The following is a 19,777-nucleotide window of genomic DNA, read 5'->3' on the forward strand; positions in this document are numbered from 1 at the left end:
TACCAAGTTCTCCTGAGCCCCCACTGTGGGTCCAGCTCAGCCCTAGCCACTGGGTTCCAGAGGTCAAAAACACATGTTTTTTGAGCTTGCATTCAGGTAAGGAATTGCAAATACACCTGCTTTTTCTCTGAGAATTGGAGATCTTGAGCACACACACTGCCTAAAACACAATCAAAGTGTGCCTCACATACATAGATTTGGATGAAGGATGACATCATACACAGTTCATGCTGAGTCCGATGACCGGTCCCTTCTGCCCTTTCGTGCATTTTACCCACACAGGGCTTGCTTTGGACAGGAGTAAATGTAGGTCCATGTTTCTGAACTTGCTGAATTTGAAGCATAGGATAGAATCCAGTCCTTGATTGATGTTTTTATTTCTTCGACCGTCTGTTTCCACCCTGACTGGCCCTGAGGACACTGAATCACCCTCTCCATGACACTTTTCACACCTCCCCAGAGGGGAGGAGGCTGTAACGTGGGGCTCGTGCATGAAACCATCTCTAAACCATGACCCCATCAGTTTAAAACTATTAAAATTTATCAATTTTCATGAAATGTAAGCTACAAAATTGAATATATTGATGAACTTCTTAATATGTAAAAGCTCACTATACCTGGCTGCTTCATAAATTCCTTCTACTACCTCCAAGGCAGTAAGAGAAACAGCTTAGAGACTGGAAGTCCTTTGCCCAAATACAGCCCAGGAATCCAGCCCCCAAATCCAGCCTCTTGGTCATCCACTCTCTGGTGCTGCCTTGCACGTGGTTTGCCACTTTAACTTCCTCCTAGCCGCTCGCCAGGCATCCCAGGATAACGCTGTGGCCTGGGTTCCGTGAGCACCTCTCCCACCCAAAACACTGGAGGGGCCTCTTCTCATTTTCGGTAGACTGCAAGTGTTAGCCGTCGGGACCAGCTTCTGTCTGGAAGTTCGTCAAATTGCAGTTAAGTCCAAGTATGCCACATAGCAGATAAGGGAATGTACAAGACACTCGGTGTCGTGATGGACAGTGATGGCTGTGATGATGTCGTACGCTCAGCTGATCCTTCTCCCTGCTGAGAAGAGTTCAGCTGGATGCAGGGAGCCTTACGTTACATATCAGGAAAAACTTTCAAAAAAAGAGATGTGTTTCAACTGTGAGAGTTAAAATACTAAAGACTCGACCCAAGGACATTGAGTAACATTCTTTCCTGAAAATTTTAAGAGTCACTGGATAATGGTGAAGAAAGCCTGGACTGGAATGTCAGAGGTGCCTGAACTCAAGTCCGGTCACCAGCTGGGTCAACACAGGATAGCTACTTAATCACTCCTCATATCAGCCCCCACCTCTATAAAATGTGGACATTAATATTATCATGAAGGTTTATGGTGAGGAACCAAGAGAATGTAGCTAAAAATCCCAGAACATCATAATTGCTTAATAAATGGCAACTATAATGATTCACTCTTAATACCAAGAGAAATGCCTAGCTCTCTTTTGCTACTTCATTGTAGATGAACTGAATAACCATTTTGGTTAACTATGAATTAAACAGGAATGATCAAACATATACACATACAAACCATGATTAGGAAGGAGCTGGACTCAGGTGACTCTTGGTAATTGCCTTGGGAATGTTAGATGCTGGTTTGCAAGTCCCCAAACAGAACAATCTCCCATAGCTAAATACACTGGGGCATTAGGAAGATGGAGTGAGATTCACAATGGCAAAGACATGGAATCAACCTAAATGCCCATCAACAGTAGACTGGATAGAGAAAACGCAGTGCATATACACCATGGAATACTATGCTGCCATAAAAAAGAATGAGGTCATGTCCTTTGCAGGAACATTAATGGAGCTGGAGGCCATTAACCTAAGCAAACTCATGCAGGAACAGAAAACCAAATACCACATGTTCTCATTTATAAGTGGGAGCTAAATGATGAAAACTCATGGACACAAAGAGGGGAACAATAGACACCAGGGCCTACCTGAGGGTGAAGGGTAGGAGTAGGGAGAGGAACAGAAAAAATAACTACTGGGTAGGGTACTATGCTTAGTCTCTGGGTGATGAAATAATCCGTACAATACCCTGTGACATCAGTTTACCTCTATAACAAACCCGTACACTAATCTCCAGAAAGAGGCCTAGCAACCTGAACCTAAAATAAAAGTTAAGCAAAAAGATGGAGTGAGATCCACCTGCGCCACCAAGAAATGATCCATAGAACAAATCATTACATAAGAAAATAAAAATCACAGACGATTGCTCTCTATGGACACATTTACACAAATCCAAGTAAATGGAGAGGAAAAGGCGCAGGGGGGGATATGGATAAACAGCAGGGTGTTGACCACCAGCCGCTTGGGAAGAAGACCTGCTGTGGGGATGGAAGGGAGAGAGCAGGGAGGCCTCCAGGGTTTATACCCTGTATATTGTTCACGTTTTTTACAATGAGCATTAATTCCTCTGTCACCTATGCAATATTTTTTACATGTTCAAAACAATTCCTAAAAATTATAATTTCAGAGTGTGGCATGATAAAAAATGTAGTGAGGGATAAAACACTACAAATCAGATTCAGTGTATATTGCTTGGGTGATGGGTACACCAAGATCTCACAAATCACTAAAGAACTTACTTGTATAACCAAATACCACCTGTTCCCCAATAACCTATAGAAATAAAAGTTTTTTAATGCAGAGCAAAATTAGGGTGAAGGTTTATGTGGTAGAGTGTGCCACTATTGGAGGAATTTTTTAAATGGTATATACAGACAGACAGACATATCTTCTTCTTCTTTTTTATTTTTTTTAAGACAGAGTCTTACTCTGTCACCCAGGCTGGAGTGCAGTGGTATGATCTCGGCTCGCTGCAACCTCCACCTCCCGGGTTCAAGCGATTCTCCTGCCTCAGCCTCTCAGGTAGCTGGGATTACAGGCATGTGCCACCATACCTGGCTAATTTTTGTATTTTTAGGAGAGACACGGTTTCACCATGTTGGCCAGGCTGGTCTCAAACTCCTGACCTCAAATGATCCGCCTGCCTCAGCCTCCCAAAGTGGTGGGATTACAGGCGTGAGCCACCATGCCCAGCCCAGACATATCTTCTTATATGGACGAAAATAATCTCCAGAAGTAGGCCTAGCCACTGATGAGAATGGCAGTCCATAAGCTGTTACTGTTCTGGGGTGAAATTGTTACGTTTTAAATTTGCTATCTTGTCAATGTAGTATCTATTTAAGGATAATTACTTACATGTTAAAATAAAAAATAGAAAAATTTAGATGCCCAGAGAATAAATTAATGCTTGTAAAACCAAAATAAACACAGACCTGAAGCATCCCAGGTAAGGTTATGTTCCCTTTGACCATTGCTGTTTCTTTAGCTCAGTTTTAGGTGAAGTGTGGATGAAGAGGTGAAGAAAGGAGGTGATTCAAAGAAAGTCTCCACAAACCCGAGATTGTAAAATGTCTCATTATGAGGTCTGGTGGAAATGGATTTGAAAAGCCTAATTTCCAAGTTAAAAGAGGAAAAGAGGCTGGGCGGGGTGGCTCATGCCTGTAATCCCAGCACTTTGGGAGGCTGAGGCAGGTGGATCACCTGAGGTCAGGAGTTCCAGGCCAGCCTGGCCAACATGGTGAAACCCGGTCTCTACTAAAAACACAGAAATTAGGTGGGCATGGTGGCACGCACCTGTCGTCCTAGCCTCCTGGGAGTCTGAGACAGAATTGCTTGAACCTGGAAGGTGGAGGTTGCAGTGAGCAGAGATTGTGCCACTGCACTCCAGCTCCAGCCTGGGCGACAGAGCAACACTCCATCTCAAAAAAAAAAAAAAAAAAAAAGAAAAGAAATAATTCTAAAAGTATTCAAGCAATAAAAGTCAGCTGATATTTATTATCTACTATAGCCAAGGCATGGAGTTGGGGTTTTATTTGCCTACTTTCAGTGAGAAAGATGAGCTAAATCGTTTTTATGGAAAATAAAAAGGAAACATTTAAAGTAACAACAACCAAAAGTATCCACCAATAGTCTCTGCATCACTTGGGAAGCCGCTAGGGAGTGTGGGACACACGCTCAGCTAAACGGCAACAGAGAATCAAGCAACTGCTGGCTTTAGTGCCCTGCTACTCCTAAATATGCTTCAATGTTTGCCTCTTTCACTGGTTAAAAGCACTGTTGTTGGTCTGACGGTCTTTGGTTTCTCTTCTCAGGGAATCTCAGACCGAGCACTTTCATTTCCTTCTCACCATGCAGGAAATGAGTAGACGTGACACTCCTGTTTTGGTAAGAATTGACACACAGCTACCCTCATCTGGTGAACGGACGAATTGGGGCTAAAGCTGAATGGCTGACATGTCAACAACCTGAAATAAAAACAAACCAGCCTTGTTTAAGAGTGAATTTGCTTTGTGCAAATTGTCAAAAAGAAAACACGGAAAAACCGTCTCCTGCAAAGAGGAAGAAAAGGGTTACGTTGTTGACAAAATCTGGGTTTCCTTGCAAATAATGGTCTGTTGCTTGTATGCCATCGTCACATTTTGGATGGCAGATTGTTTAAGAAATTAAAAAAATAAATAAATAAATTATCTAGTTAGCAAAAGGTCTGGAGCACAGAGGCTGGTCATTTACCCCAGGGCCAGGAAGATGAAAGCACGTTCACCCGCCATTTGCGGCTGCCCTAGCGCGTTAGTACCATCTCCCCGTGCCCACAGATATCCACACACAGCAACTCTCAGGGGACAAATGCGAAGCCATGTGATTTTCCCCCTGCTATGTTAAAAATGCATTCCTATTTTTTCAAGCATGCTTCGATTAAAGAGGGCACATCTGTTTTAAGTCCCCTTTTATGAAAATTACTGAGCTTCCTCGGCGTGCTTATCTTTTAATTTCGAAATTCTTTGTAGCAATCACTTGGGATAATAACCAGCCATATTTCTGGCCCCTTTAAAAAATAAAGGGGAGGGTGGGGAGGAAAAAAGAAAGAACGAACAAGCCATTTTAGAGCTTTGAACTCCCTGTTCTAATCCTCCCGCTTTGGGCCTGGGTGGAAAGGGTCCCCCTTCGTTTGCGTTTAGAATGGCTGAGCCCCGCGCGCACTGCCTCAGCCTGGCCTGCCAGCCCCCGAGCCTGGGCCCAGCTTGACGCTGCAGCGCTATTCATCGACTCCCCGGCAGGGGGAGCCGCTGCGCACCGCCACCGCCAGGCAGCAAAGCGCTCAGCTTCCTTTTAAGGCCTCTTCATCCCCCCACCCCCAAACACTTTTCACAGAGTTTCTCACCCCTTTCTTCCCTCTGGAGGGGCTCCTTGAACGGACACCACCCTGGATGGCTTTTTCCTAGGCAGACCTCCCACCCCCGGCGTTTTTGTTTCGAATAGCACCTAACGGGCGGGGTTGCATTTACCATCTGTGTTTCGAATAGCACCTAACGGGCGGGGTTGCATTTACCATCTGTCTTTCTGCTGTTTTAAACCCTTGTTTAAGGCTCAGGCTGTTCAGAGACGTAATCCGGGGCTTGAGCAAAGAGTGAAAAGTTGAGATTCCTTCTCTGGACTTCCTGCACCGATTTTTTCCTTGTTTCCTCCAAGCGTTGATGAGATGAGAGATGGGCTGTAAGGTGGGGAATGGAACACACGCTTAAGTGTCTGGAAACCGTGTGATTCTTGGGGATGGCCACATAGCTGGAGAACCGTGGAGTCGTCGTGCCTCCTGGGCCACACCCGCCACCTGGCTTCAGTTGGCTGATCAGCAGCAAGAGGCAGAGCTTAACAGTTCTGTTTTCCTCCCCGTGAAATAAGGATAACGACAATTTCAGCTGAGTCTTTATAATCATCTGAAGAAAGGGATCCCTAGATGTCCAAGACGATTTACTGTGTGCTATGTTTAGAGGCTAAAGATAAAATAAGAAGAAACGTGAGGTAACTGGTCTCTTCTCGTCGACGCACTTAGGAAGCCCAAATACTTTCATCCTGAAAGCGTGCAATCCCCTGCCACATTCATGTCTGCAACACTGACTTGGAAATTCCCTGAATAAATAAGCGCATACGGCAGGAGATGCTAATCCAATTTAGAAAAGTTCTGCGGAGCTTGATTTTTCCCTCCCACTGGACAATGCCGGGGTCTTTCCATCTTTATCTTGGCAAATGGGGTCAGGAGAAGAGTGAAAGGTAAAAGTATTAGTTCTGCTTTAGTTCACAGCGCTGACGATCAGTATTCAAATGGGACTGGTGGTGACATGTGGCTTTCAGTCACAGCACACGCTCTCCCTCACCGTGGAAGATTGGTCGTTGAATGTATTTACTATTTAAAAAATGACCTGAATCAACAAAATCTTGCTCACCATCCATACGTACTTATTGTGTATCTACTGCCTACAGGAAGCCTCCAGGCCAGGCACTCAAGAGCAACGCCCATCAATAGAAAGATGTTTCCTGGAGTTAAGATCCTAATCAAGTTGGGGAGACGAGGTCTATAAGAAGAAAAGAATATTAATCGTTAAATGTCAAAGAGTTGCAGCAGCATTTATTCAGAAATTAAACAGCAAAATTATTCTTCATGCTAGGAATATAATTCCTAAGACAAGCAAAGTCTCTGCCATAGTGAAGGCTACCTGGGAGGAGATGGAGGACAGAAAGCAAACACGCAAACAAATAAAAATGTAATTTCAGGCCGGGCGCGGGGGCTCTCATCTGTAATCGCAGCACTCTGGGAGGCCGAGGCGGGCAGATCACTTGAGGTCAGGAGTTTGAGACCAGCCTGGCCAACATGGTGAAACCCTGTCTCTACTTAAAGATACAAAAATTAGCTGAGTGCGGTGGCAGGTGCCTGTGGTCCCAGCTACTCAGGAGGCTGAGGCAGAAGAATGACTTGAACCTGGGAGGCGGAGGTTGCAGTGAGCCGAGATCACACCACTGCACTTCAGCCTGGGTGACAGAGGGAGACACCATCTCAAAAAAAAAAAAAAAACCCAGAAAAAAAGTGTAATTTCAGACAGTGACATGAGCTATGGAGCAAACAGAGCAATGAGGTGGGAGGGGCGGGTGGGGGTGATATGGCAGCACCTCTGGGAAGATGGCACTGAAGCCCCAGGGAGGATGGCTGAGGCTGGGAATAGGCTGGAAGAGGGCTGAGGGTGAGGCTGGAGAGAGGCAGGGCTACATCATCCAGCGTGGAGTTTCCCATGTCTGACGGGCATGGGAGTCAAAATGCAGATTCTGGTTCCAAAAGTGCGTGCACGGGTTGGGGGATGAGATTCTGCATTTGGAACAAGGTGACGGGGCTGCCACACTTTCAACCATGCCTAGAGTAGCAAGGGCCAGAGATTTGGTTTTTGACCTCAGCCTCGCTAGAGTCACCTAGAGAACTTTTACCAATCTCAGATGCTGGGGCCCCTTCCTGGTGGTTCTAATGAACATCAAAGGTTGAGAACTACTGATTTAGCATCTTGGCCATGGTAAATGATAAGGGTCTTATTGTCTCACCCATTGGGAGGGGCTAAGAGCCACCAATCGGCCTTCAGAGGAGGCTTTCCAGGGTAGACCAGGGCTTGAGCCAGACTTCGGTGCACATCAAGCTCAAAGAGATAGAGGTTCAAAGAGATCCATTAGAGATGGATAAAAGGCATAAGCCAGGTTTCTCAACATTTTGCACCATTCTAACATTTTGCATCATAATTCTTTGCTGTGGGGGGGCTCCTGTGTGCTGTGGGGGCACTCCTGTATTCTGTGGCATGCTATGAGCAAACCTGGTCTCTACCCATGAGATGCCCGTGGAACCCTCCCAAGATGTAACAGCCAGTAATATCTCCGGATATTGCCAGTTGTCCCTGGGAAAAGAAATGGACCCCAGTGGAGAACCACTGACATAAACAAAGATGAAAAACCAGAAAAGTCAAAGATCCATGCATTATCTGAATGACATTCACTCCACATCTGTGGTTTACCATCCTGGACTCCGGCGGGCTTTGGAGACAGGTCTCCCTCTCTGAAGGCAGAGAAAACACAGGCTTGGGGTGCCAACAAATGCATACATTTATTTGAAAAGAAAAAATTTGACATTGAAAAAAGGCACCTGATATAGTTTGGCTGTGTCCCCACCCAAATCTCATTCTGAATTGTAGCTCCCACAATTCCCACATATCATGGGAGGAACCCAGCAGGAGGTAATTGAGTCATGGGGGCGGGTCTTTCCCATGCTGTTCTTGTGACAGTGAACAAGTCTCACGAGATCTGATGGTTTTGAAAACTGGAGTTTCCCCGCACAAGCTCTCTCTTTTGGTTTTGAACACTGGAGTTTCCCCGCACAAGCTCTCTCTTTGCCTGCCACCGTCCACGTAAGACATGACTTGCCCCTCCTTGCCTTCCGCCATGATTGTGAGGCCTCCCCAGCCACGTGGAACTATAAGTCCATTAAATATTTTTCTTTGGTAAATTGCCCAGTCTCAAGTATGTCCTTATCAGCAGCATGAAAACAGATGAGTACAGCACCCAAGTAGACACCACTGGGAGAATCAGAATTCTGTTAGTCTTCCTCATTTTAAGTTTTAATATTTCCTTTATTTAAAAGACTGGGCTGCTAATACAAGCAACAATGTGTATGAACCTAGCAGGCAGTCCTGGAGAAGACTCAAAGGAGCACAGAGTATTCGATTCCACCTATGTGACATTGGAGAACAGGCAAAACGAACTCAGGGTCTCGGGGTCGGATTTGTGATTCCCCTGCGGGGTGGGCTCAGGGGAGACTTCTGGATGCTGGAAATGTCCTATATCTCAGTGTTCCTTTCTGGTACCAGGGACTGGTTTTGTGGAAGAAACTTTTTTTACAGGCTGAGGTGGAGGTGGGGGGATGGCTTTGGGATGAAAATTGCACCTCAGATCATCAGGCATTAGATTCTCACAAGGACCCACTGGAGTCCAGGATGGTAAACCATAAACATGGAGTGAATGTCAGGCAGATAATGCATGGATCTTTGACTTTTCTGGTTTTTCATATTGCTGATGTCAGTGGTTCTCAACTGGGGTCCATTTATCTTGGGGACAATTTCTCTTGGGGACAATTGGCAATGCCTGGAGATATTACTGGTTGTTACAACTTGGGAGGGTTCCACTGGCATCTAGTAGGTAGAGACCAGGGTTGCTGATAGCATGCCACAGTACACAGGACTGCCCCACAGCAAAGAATTATGGAGCGTGCAGTTCACAATAGGGTTCGCACTCCTGTGAGAATCTAGTGCCACTGCCGATCTGACAGCAGGTGGAGCTCAGGCAGTAATGCTTGTTTGCCCACCACTCACCTCCTGCTGTGCAGCCTGGTTCCTAACAGGCCACGGACCAGTACCAGTCCATGCCCAGGGGTTGGAAACCCCTGCTCTCTCTGGAACTGGGTGGTACTTCTGTGAATGCATACAGACGCAGGGATTCGTTCAGCTGAACGCTTACGATTTGTACAGTTGGCCAGGTGCAGTGGCTCATGCCTGTAATCCCGGCACTTTGGGAGGCCAAGGCAGGTGGATCACTTGAGGTCAGGAGTTCGAGACCAGCCTGGCCAGCATGGTGAAACCCCGTCTCTACTAAAAATACCAAAAAAAATTAGCCAGGTGTGGTGGTGGGCACCTGTAATCCCAGCTACTCAGGAGGCTGAGGCAGGAGAATTGCTTGAACCCGGGAGGAGGAGGTTGCAGTGAGCCAAGATCGCACCACTGCACTCCAGCCTCTTTATTTTTTTACATCTAAAAAAAAAAAAAGATTTGTACACTTGATGTATGTTCCATGTATATAAAAGAGGCCCCTTTTTACAGAGCATAGAGGTTCTAAAGCGATGTCTGCCTAGGACCCAGGGCATACCTGGTTTCTTTCTGGCTGGATGATAAGATCTATATTGCAGTATTGTAAGCTGGGTACGAATCTTGGTGGAGGAGCCTAATGAGGAAAAGGCCACTGTCAAGACAGGGAGGAGCATCCAATCCTTGAAGGGTCTGCTCTTCTGCTGCTGGGAGAGTACAGTGCCCTCTTCCGGCAGCCAGGGTGTGTGTCCTCCATATGCTCTTCAGACAGGCCCAATGGAGATGTATCATCGTGTCCCCTCCCAGAGACAGAGCCGCCGACAGCTCCAATTAGGCTCCTGGCAGCAAAAGACCAAGAAGGATTGATGGATGACTGGACGGATGGGGAGATGAGAGGCTGGGAGGAAGCAGGCCAAGCGGAATGCCAGGTGCACAGTCTCAGTGTGGGCATTACGAGTTCTCTCTACAGTTCTTTCCATTTTTCTGTATGGTTGAAAGTTTTTATAATATAATGTAGGGAGGGAAATCAGCCTTCTTTTCTGTTTCTGCTGAGCTAAAACACCATGAGGGCTTACTAATAGAGCACATTTTACTGGAAGCTCTGTTACCATTTGTAACCATCACCACGCGTTACATCCTTGTTCACAATGAGGTTATCGTTGAGGAATGTCGTCTAAGAGAAAATACTCAGATGCTTTTCTGGAGGTAAATGTTTTTAAATGTTGGGATGATTTGTCAAGAAAAGACTTTTCGTATCTACCCTCGGATAATATGTAGAATTCCTTATAAGCGTCAGATGTCTAGAAACATTCCCCAGCATCTCCTTTCTAAAGAGTGCCCAATTAAGGATGGGACGAAGGACTTTTTTCTTTTCTTGTACAACTTTGTTATAATAGCTGAGTGAGAACGAGAGCTCTGTGCTGGAGCTGCTGGGAGCATGTGAGGTCACCGGGGAGAGCAGAGCCAGTCATCGGCTGCCCTCAGGTGTTGGGAGCCTGGTCCTCCTGGGAGAGGGATTTAACAAAGGAACGCATTTCAAAGTAGACACTGTGTTTTCCATCCTTTTTCTGAAGTGTTTTCAAACACACTCCCAGCTAAAAAGTCTTAGAAGTGAGAAAAGGAGGCATATATCAGACAACCCCCAAAGCAGCTGACAATCCGGAGAGCAAAAGATAGGGTCAGATTGGAGATGCTGGAGTCCGTGTACATTCTCGCCATAGGAGGGCTTGATTTATTTTTGCCCCACCCACTGGGTCTCAACTTTGAAATGCTCAGTACAAAAGAATTGGACTAATGCCCTACTTGCATGCATTCTCTCCTAAAATGTGACATGTCTGATTTCAATCCACTTTAACCCAGTGTGCTGCGTCTTTGTTGTCAAAGGGTGTTGCATCTGCTTAAACTCACACATCTCGAAGGTTGCTGTGAAGGTAAACAGAAAGCAACGTAAGGCACGGATGTTGATTCGTGTGTCGTGTGTGTGTGTGTGTGTGTGTGTGTGTGTGTGTGTGTGCGAAATTTGTACAGCAGTACCTGCATCTCTATCCAAAGAAATCAAATCAAACATTAAGTGCAATTTCCCCCGACCTTTTCTCGCCTTTGTCTCTCTCCCTGGAAATAACAGTTGGGTATGAATCCTCTAGGGTGGATATTAAGAGAAATTAGTGAAATTGGATTTTGTGCCCATAAATACGACCATTCTTTTAAACGTTCGCGAGGCTAGTGTATTGAATAGCATTCAAATTAAGTTTTTGTATGAAAATACCTCTTGTTTATGATCGGTCACAGGAGTCTTGAGCCCTCAAGGAAGGCACAGAGGAGAGCTAGCGTATTTCAGTCTGCGTGGCCTTTGCTTGCTTGTACTTTTGTGGATCAGTTAATTTTTTATACAAGTGAAATATAGTTAACATTTCGTTTTCATTTTAAACATTTGTTAATTATAGACACAATTTACATGGTCTATATAATATAGATTACCTATAGTATATGTTTATATATGCACACACATATATGAATATATATAATGTTCTGGCTAAAATCTGACTATGTGCTTTAAGAATTTCATGGTAACATTAAAGATTATTTGTGATTACTAGTATTATCAAGTATTACAATATTCTCTATTAATTACTGGTATTATCGAGAAAACTATAACCTAAAATATTCAGATTTAAGAATTTCTGATTATCAGTGCTGCTAAGGTGTGGCAATTTTTTGCAACAAGACAGTCTAAAATTCGTATTTTGAAAAAGCTGAAAGAATATTCCCCCAGTGATAAACTTTTTGCATAAGCAAGATATAAATTTGTAGGACTGGTATAACTGGTTGGTGATTAGAATTTGCCAGAGCACTCTGGCCCCACACGCCTGCCTGTCTCCCCAGAATAATTAGAGTAGAGACTGGGGCCAGACTGACTCATCACCTGAACTTTCCACCAAGTACCGGAGGTATCCACCCCAGAATGTTACTCATATGTGCTGAGATGTTATTTCTGGAAGATCCCTATTAGAGAACACAGATGTTCACGTAAGCCACAGTAACATATAAAGCCATTATCACCCATTCTCCCTCCTGCTGTCCAGAACAAAATAAAAATTATAGTTTTGACTCTTAGAGAGTGTTTGGATTAGATTGTAGGCAAGGCTACGGAGGACAAACTGGAATGGGCTGCCATGGATCTGTGTTTATGTGTGTGTGTGTGTGTGTGTGTACTTTTTAAAAATCTATTTCTATATGTATCTTCACATAGATAGTTCCTCAACCTCTTATCCAAACTCCCTAGGTCCAGATGTGTTTTGAAATTTGGGCAGTGTCTTATAATAACAGTCAGATTTCTGTAGTGAAATTATGTATGTTCACACTGTGTCATCGTAATAAGGCTATAAATAGCCTCATTTCTTATTGCAAAGTGTAAGGTTTCCAGAGCTGTTGGATGTAGGCCAAGAAAGAACCATAGACTTGGATTAACTCATTTAACTCTTGGAACAACCTGAAGAGATTGATAATATTATTTCTATTTTATGGATGAGGAAGCTGAAGCACTGAGAGAGCTGAGGACCGTGTGGCAGAGCCGGGATTCGAACCAGGGCACGTGACTTCACCCCACACTGCGCTGCCTCTGTAGATGATGGTTTATAGAAACAACATGTGACACTGTCCTGTGTTGGTTTTGTCAACCCATTACATTCACTCAGGCACAGAAAAACAGAAAGACAAACTTAGTGTGAAAATAGTGTAAAGAAAAATTTGATGATGATATGACATATTAGAGATTCGGGATCTCTCACTCAAACTTATACAGACATCATTCAGTTTGTCCTTTGAATTCAAAATTACCCCCATGACAGCGGTGCTGTGTGTGAATACAGGTACACCTGGAGAGACCACCGTATCTGTGTAACCAAAAGTATTTTTGCAATACACACATGCACTGTATTTTGCAGATTCCTGAAAGAGACTGCCTGGGTCAAAAATTCTGCTCTAATATGAGGCCAAAGGTTCCTGACCTATCTTTGTCTCAGTCTTCTCATCTGTAGGATGGGAGACGGACATAAAACCCAGGGAGTTATTAAAAAATTTACCCGCTGTCTCTCCACGGCCTTTAGGTCTGCACGCCAGCCACTTTGAGAGGATCAATTGCAGAGATGTGCCGGGCTTTGCTTAAATTGGCCTTCATCCAGTTTCAGCGTTCAAAGCAGGAACGGTGGGAAATGAGAGGGAGATGGCCTGTGCCCATGTGGGCTGCCCCTCACTACACCCACAGCCAGCCAGGCATTCAGATGCCCCCTCTGCGGGCGTGTCTGTGTTTCTTTCTGCAACTCTGTCTTAAGGGAAGGACTTCAGGGGCACAGGAAATTCCCACATCAAAGGGTAAATGAGGAAATGCTGCTGACGTTCCCAGGACCCTCCCGATGAATCCTAAACCACTAATTTAATTTGAAGGATGCTCACCTAAAAGCAAGTAAGGCCTGACCTGTAAAAGTGAGGTCATTCCCACCAGGTGGCTGAAAACACTATGTCCCAAGTAAAATGGATTGTATCATAGGAACCGTGAGCATGTCCTCACTGAACACAATTTGACAGTTTCAAAGTCCTCTGCATTCTAAATTGAGAAAGAAGAGTCATTGACAGGCTACTAATATTACTGTTACAACTAACACTCACACTGATCACCAAATTAATCATGTGGAATAACTAAAAATGACACATTGCTCAGCTAACATTTCTTTGCCAGGAAAAGCTTGTTTCTAACAGTCTTTCAGCCAGCTTGAAGCTTTTACTCTTTGTTCAGCAAACACTGTGATTCCTTTGAGCTCTTGTATCAGTCAGGATGGTCTAGGTTATGCTGCAGTAACAAATAAGCCCCAAGTATCAGTGCCTTAAAAGAACAAATGCTTATACTTTGTGTTACGAATTCACTGAGAGTTGTCTGCAGCCATTCTAGGACCTGGCAGAGAAGACTCATCTGGATTGTGGAGGGGTTTCTAAGGCAGAGGGGAAGAGAGAAAACATGGGAAAACCAAGCACTGGTTTTGAAGCTTTCTGCCAGATGTTTTGCAAGCCACTTGCACTTATACTTCATTGACCAAAGCAGGTCATGTGGCTGCTATGGCTCTCAAGGAAGTGGAAAGTACACCCTACCAGGGGCAAGAAGAGGGGAGGTGAAAGTATTTGGTGAAGAGTGCTGATAATTGCTACATCCACCTGCTCTGACCCCTGTCTTAGTCCCAGGGAGTCTCCCACTTGATCTAGCAAAGCCTACCTCCCACTGGAGATATGGAGATGCCACACTCTCCTGAAGCTGCTGGCAGGCAGGTGACCCAGGCTCTGACCATCAGAGATATGCACTGGAGATTTTAAACCTGTCACTAGTGGAGGAAAGGAGAGATTGCATGGGATCCACCCTGAGAGATCAAGCAATGGATCGGCCTCCAGAGGTCGTCCTGGTGGGGAAGCCCTCAGGACAGATGGCAGTGTCTGTTTCTACTGTGGGAGCCCACATCATGCTCCTGCATGTGAACCCACAAAGCCTTGTTCTCTGGCTAACCTAGAAATTATATTTGCTGTTTAATATCTTTTAATTTTAAATTGTGGTAAAATACACATAGCACAAAATCTGCCATCTTAGCCACTCAGTGGCATGAAATACATTCACAGTGTGCAACCATCACCACCATCCATCTCCAGGACCCTTTCCATCTGGCAAAACTGAAACTCTTTTCCCATTAAACAATCACCCCATTCTCCCTTCCTTTAGCCCTTGGCAAAACACCATTCTACTTTCTAACTTTATTAATTTACCAATAACTATTTTCTGCTTAAATTAGTAAATCCTTTTTCTGCTTAAATTAGCCAGAGTGGCTTTCTGTGGCTTGACATTAAGAACCTTGACTGATATTGACTGTAAGTGTTTTGAGGGCAGGGTTGGATCTCTGCCCTATTTTGTATCCTCACTGCTAATAGACAACTGTTTATCTGAAGCACTGAAATGATGAAAAGCCTATCATTTCAAATGTGGTTGCTCAAATAGGACACTGAATAACCCACTTCAATACTGAACACATATCTTACGTTCCGCCTATAGGATTAAAAAGAAGCATCCTTTTTTTTTAATCAAGAAAGACAAAGTAAAAAATTAATAAGAATTCAGTTTTTTGAGGTTATGATACATGAGAAATAGAGAATTTATGCCCTTGTGATGTATTAATGCTTTTAAGGGACTTCAAAATGAATCTATTCTGCAGAATAATCAAGAATGTGGGTATGAACAGCTGGCATATTGCCTTATCCCAACTCTTGCTGTCAGATCCCACTTTCCTTCATAACTAATTGAATCTGCAGGGAAATGTCATTTGCCCTGAGATGCATTCATTTGTAGAGAGGTTAGAGCATCTGCAAGAATCAATCCAACAGTGAAAAAATAATAATAATAAAAAGCTGGGAAAGAAAACAGAATGTGTCATTCAACAGAAATCACTAAAGGGAAAGAGAATCTACTGTGGACTGAGTCGGATCCCTGCCCCCCAATGTGGTGGTGTCAGGAAATGAGGTTTTGGGGAAGTAATTAGGTTTAGATGAGGTCATGAGAGTGGGGCCTCCAGAATAGAATTGGTGCGCCTAATCATAAGAGATAACAAAGAACCAGCTCTTCTGCTGTCAACCAAGTGAGGACACAGTGAGAAGGCAGCCATCTGCAAGCCAGGAAGAGAGCCGTCACCAGGAAATGTATAGGCTAACGCCTTGATCTTGGACTTCCCAGCCTCCAGAACTGTAAGAAATAAATTGCTATTCTTTAAGCCACCCAGTCTATGGTACACAGGAGCTTATATGTATGTGTATGTGAGGTGGAGATACATTTTATGAAAAAAAAGTCAGGGGGACAAAGTGACAAATTGGGTATTACTTAAGACTGGGTAATGAGGGAAGGCCTCTTTGCAGAGGTGTCACTTGAGCAGTGTATCAGTCTAGGTTCAGGCCCTATGACAGAGGTCACAGCAGGTATTTCAGCAGAGAGAATCTAATACAGGAAATGGGTAACATGGGTGCTGGAGGACTGACACAGCCAAAAGGAAACAGAAAGAAACCCAGCAATGGTAACTGCAGATACTACTGTCACCCTAGGCTGGGGAGCAGGGGAAGAGATGGGTGATCAGCACTTAGAAGCTCAGAGGAGGAGCCCTTGGAGCCATGGCTCAGGTCCCTGAAGAGGGGGTGCTATCCAGTGAATGCAGGAACCTAACGAGCTTGAGGAGGAGCCCCACTTCTGTTCTATCAGAAGCTGCTTCTGGGAGTGCTAAAGAAGCTGGAAGCTGGATTCACTGCTGATGTTGGGGTGAAGTGTCCCTGGCTGGACAGTGCTATTGCTGGGGTGGCTGCAACAGGGACAGCAAGCAAAGAGGTAGAAGGAGGCCCTTCTTGAACCTCGTGTTTTCTCTCTAGCACCGAGCCCCTGCCCAACATAACTGGTTGGCAGAGGAGAAGCATTCTCTGCAGAGGCCAGCCCAGGAATGCTGAGCAGAGCATTGGAGGGTAGGTTTGGAGCTGAGAGGTGACAGGTCAGTAACCAGCATGCACTGAGATCCAGAGGTAGTGAGAGAATGAGCCACACTAACACCCAGGGAGAAACAGTTCAGACAAAAGGGAAAGCACTGGCAGAACCTGAGGTGAGAGTCTGCTTGTACATTTATGGGACATGGCCCATGTGCCATGAACAAGGGGAAGTAATAATGATTTCTCTACCTTCCTGATGGCTCATGTTTGCCTGACATAAATATTGACATTTCCTTCTATATTCCCCAAGTAAATAAATAGAGCTGCGTTCTGCCATTGTCTGTACTCTAAAGAGTTTCTCACAATCTGGCATTAAGCCTCTATGAATTGCCTACCTTCTACACTCCTTCTGAAGCTAATCAACGTTGCCTTAAAAGCTCAACATTGCCTTAAAATTTTTCAAAAGGTCATAGAGACTGATAATGCCATAAAGGTTTGGTTTATTTCTTTAGCCTCCATCTGGGATTTTCCTTCTTTTTCCCGCCTGGAATAGATGCAGGTCTGGAGGTGTGGCAGCCTCCTTGCAGCCACGAGGTCACCACATATATGAAAGCCATGCACTAAGGAGGGTGGAGCGGGAAGATAGTGGAGTTGCTGCATCAGCCAGGCTTTTCCATCTCATGACTTCTTGTTATGTGAGCAAAACAAACCCCTATTTGCTAAAGCCACTAGAGTCAGGTTTTTGTTTTGTGGAGACAAGTGTAATTCCTAACAGATACTTGCAATATCTGTTGGTAGGGCTCAGTTTTGGACATTCGTTTGTTTCCCCAGTACCATAGAAAAATCATTTTTTTAGAAAAACATTAAAATTTTAGACATTGTCAACATAAACCTGGAATTATAGAATTGAGTTGTGCTCTTTCTAAAGAGAATCCACAGTTCTTTTATTTAGTAATTTAAATATCTGCAGTCTCTTAGACTTGATACCAAGATGGTGCTGATTAAAACAAACACTCCATGCTCAGGAGTCTAATTGCAAATGATTTTTTTTCTTTTATGAGACAAAGTCTCATTCTGCTGCCCAGGCTATAGTTCAGGGATACAAACATGGCTCACTGCAGCCTCTGACTTCTGGGCTCAAGTGATCCTCCTGCCTCAGCCTCCTGAGTAGCTGGGACCACAGATGTGCACCACTACACCCAGCTTTTTAAATTTTTTTGTAGGGATGGGGTCTCACTATGTTGCCCAGCTGGTCTCGAGGGGTCTCACTATGTTGCCCAGCTGGTCTCGAACTCCTGAGCTCAAGCCATCCTCCTGCCTTAGCTCCCAGAGTGGTGGGATTGCAGGTGTGAGTCACCACACCTGGCCGCAAAAGTTTTTTATGCAGGAGATATACTGTAAAAAGTTACAAGCCTCGGCTGGGCATGGTAGCTCACTCCTGTAATCCCACCATTTTGGGAGGCCAAGGCAGGTGCATCATAAGGTCAGGAGATCGAGACCATCCTGGCTAACACGGTGAAACCCCATCTCTACTGAAAATACAAAAAAATTAGCTGGGCATGGTGCCAGGCGCCTGTAGTCCCAGCTACTCGGGAGGCTGAGGCAGGAGAATGGCGTGAACCTGGGAGGCAGAGCTGGCAGTGAGCCGAGATTGTGCCACTGCACTCCAGCCTGGCCGACAGAGAGAGACTCCATCTCAAAACAAAACAAAACAAAACAAAACAAAAAAAAGGTTACAAGCCTCAACAACTTGCACGGGATATTTTTCTTCTCCCAGCACAGAGAGCTCCACCCAAGCCAGAGGATCATCTGAAAATGGCCTAAAGTCAAGTGCATCTTAAAGGCAACAACTTAAATAGTCCAAAGATGGCAAAAGCATGACTTGGCAAACACTACGAGTTCACAAGGAAATTTGAGAATGAGATGGCCTCAATAAAGGCAAAGTCAAATTTCATAGTGACCAGGCAGGATATCCATTATTCATCAAAACGTAAATGTATGTTACAAGAGTGGAGCGCAAGCTGTTTGAGAAGTGTTATTATTCTCCTGAGGAGGAAGACACAGTTGCTGGGGAAATGATGGTTGCTTTCACAGGCAGCGTACCTTATCTAATACAGTGGATTGGGTGTGATGACTTAGAGATCAATAGAGGACAAGAGCTAGAGCCAGATGATCTGGTTTAAATCCCAGCCCCAGCATCTCACAACAGGATCACCTCCAGTATGCGGTGTAGCCTTTCTGTGCCTCAGGATCCTCATTTGTGAAATGGAAACTATAATAGCATCTATCTCTTGGAAACATGAAAAGTAAAATGAGCTATATTTAAAATAACCAGTTGTATCAACTATACGTCTTCAAATCTTAGATGCCGTCCATTTTAAGGCCCACCATTAATTATATACCACTACTAATTAGGTTGACAGTTTTCAAACAGAACCCCAAGTATTTTGACATTCTTCTGTATAAGAAGTGGGGTTGGGAGGGGAAAGGCTTCCAGATAGAAAGGAAGAAGTAAAACTATCTCTACTTACAGATAACATGATCTTGCAAACAAAAAAGAAATCCTAAGGTATCCACAAAAAAACCAATAGAGTCCACAAATCAGCTCAGCAAGTTTGCAGGACAAAAATATCAACATGTAAAACTCAAAAAAATCTCTACACACTAGCAATGAACAATCCAAAAATGGAATTAAGAAAACAAGTACATTGACAATAGCATCAAAAGGCATTAAATACCTAGCAATAAATGTAAGAGAAGTACAAGGTATGTACACTGTCTAGAATATCATTTAAAGACCTAGATAAATGGAAAGAATATCTCATGTTCATGGTTGGGAAGGCTTAATATTGTTGAGATGGCAATACTCCCCAAATTGATCTACAGCTTCAAGGTAATCTCTATCAATGTTACAGTTGGCTTCTTTGCAGAAATTAATAAGATGATCCTAAAATTCACATTGAAATGCAAGAGACCAAGAATAGTCTAAACAAATTTTAAAAAAAAACTTTCTGAATTGA

The sequence above is a fragment of the Homo sapiens genome, chromosome 12 (genome assembly GCF_000001405.40).
Source record: "Homo sapiens chromosome 12, GRCh38.p14 Primary Assembly".
Lineage (NCBI taxonomy): Eukaryota > Metazoa > Chordata > Mammalia > Primates > Hominidae > Homo > Homo sapiens.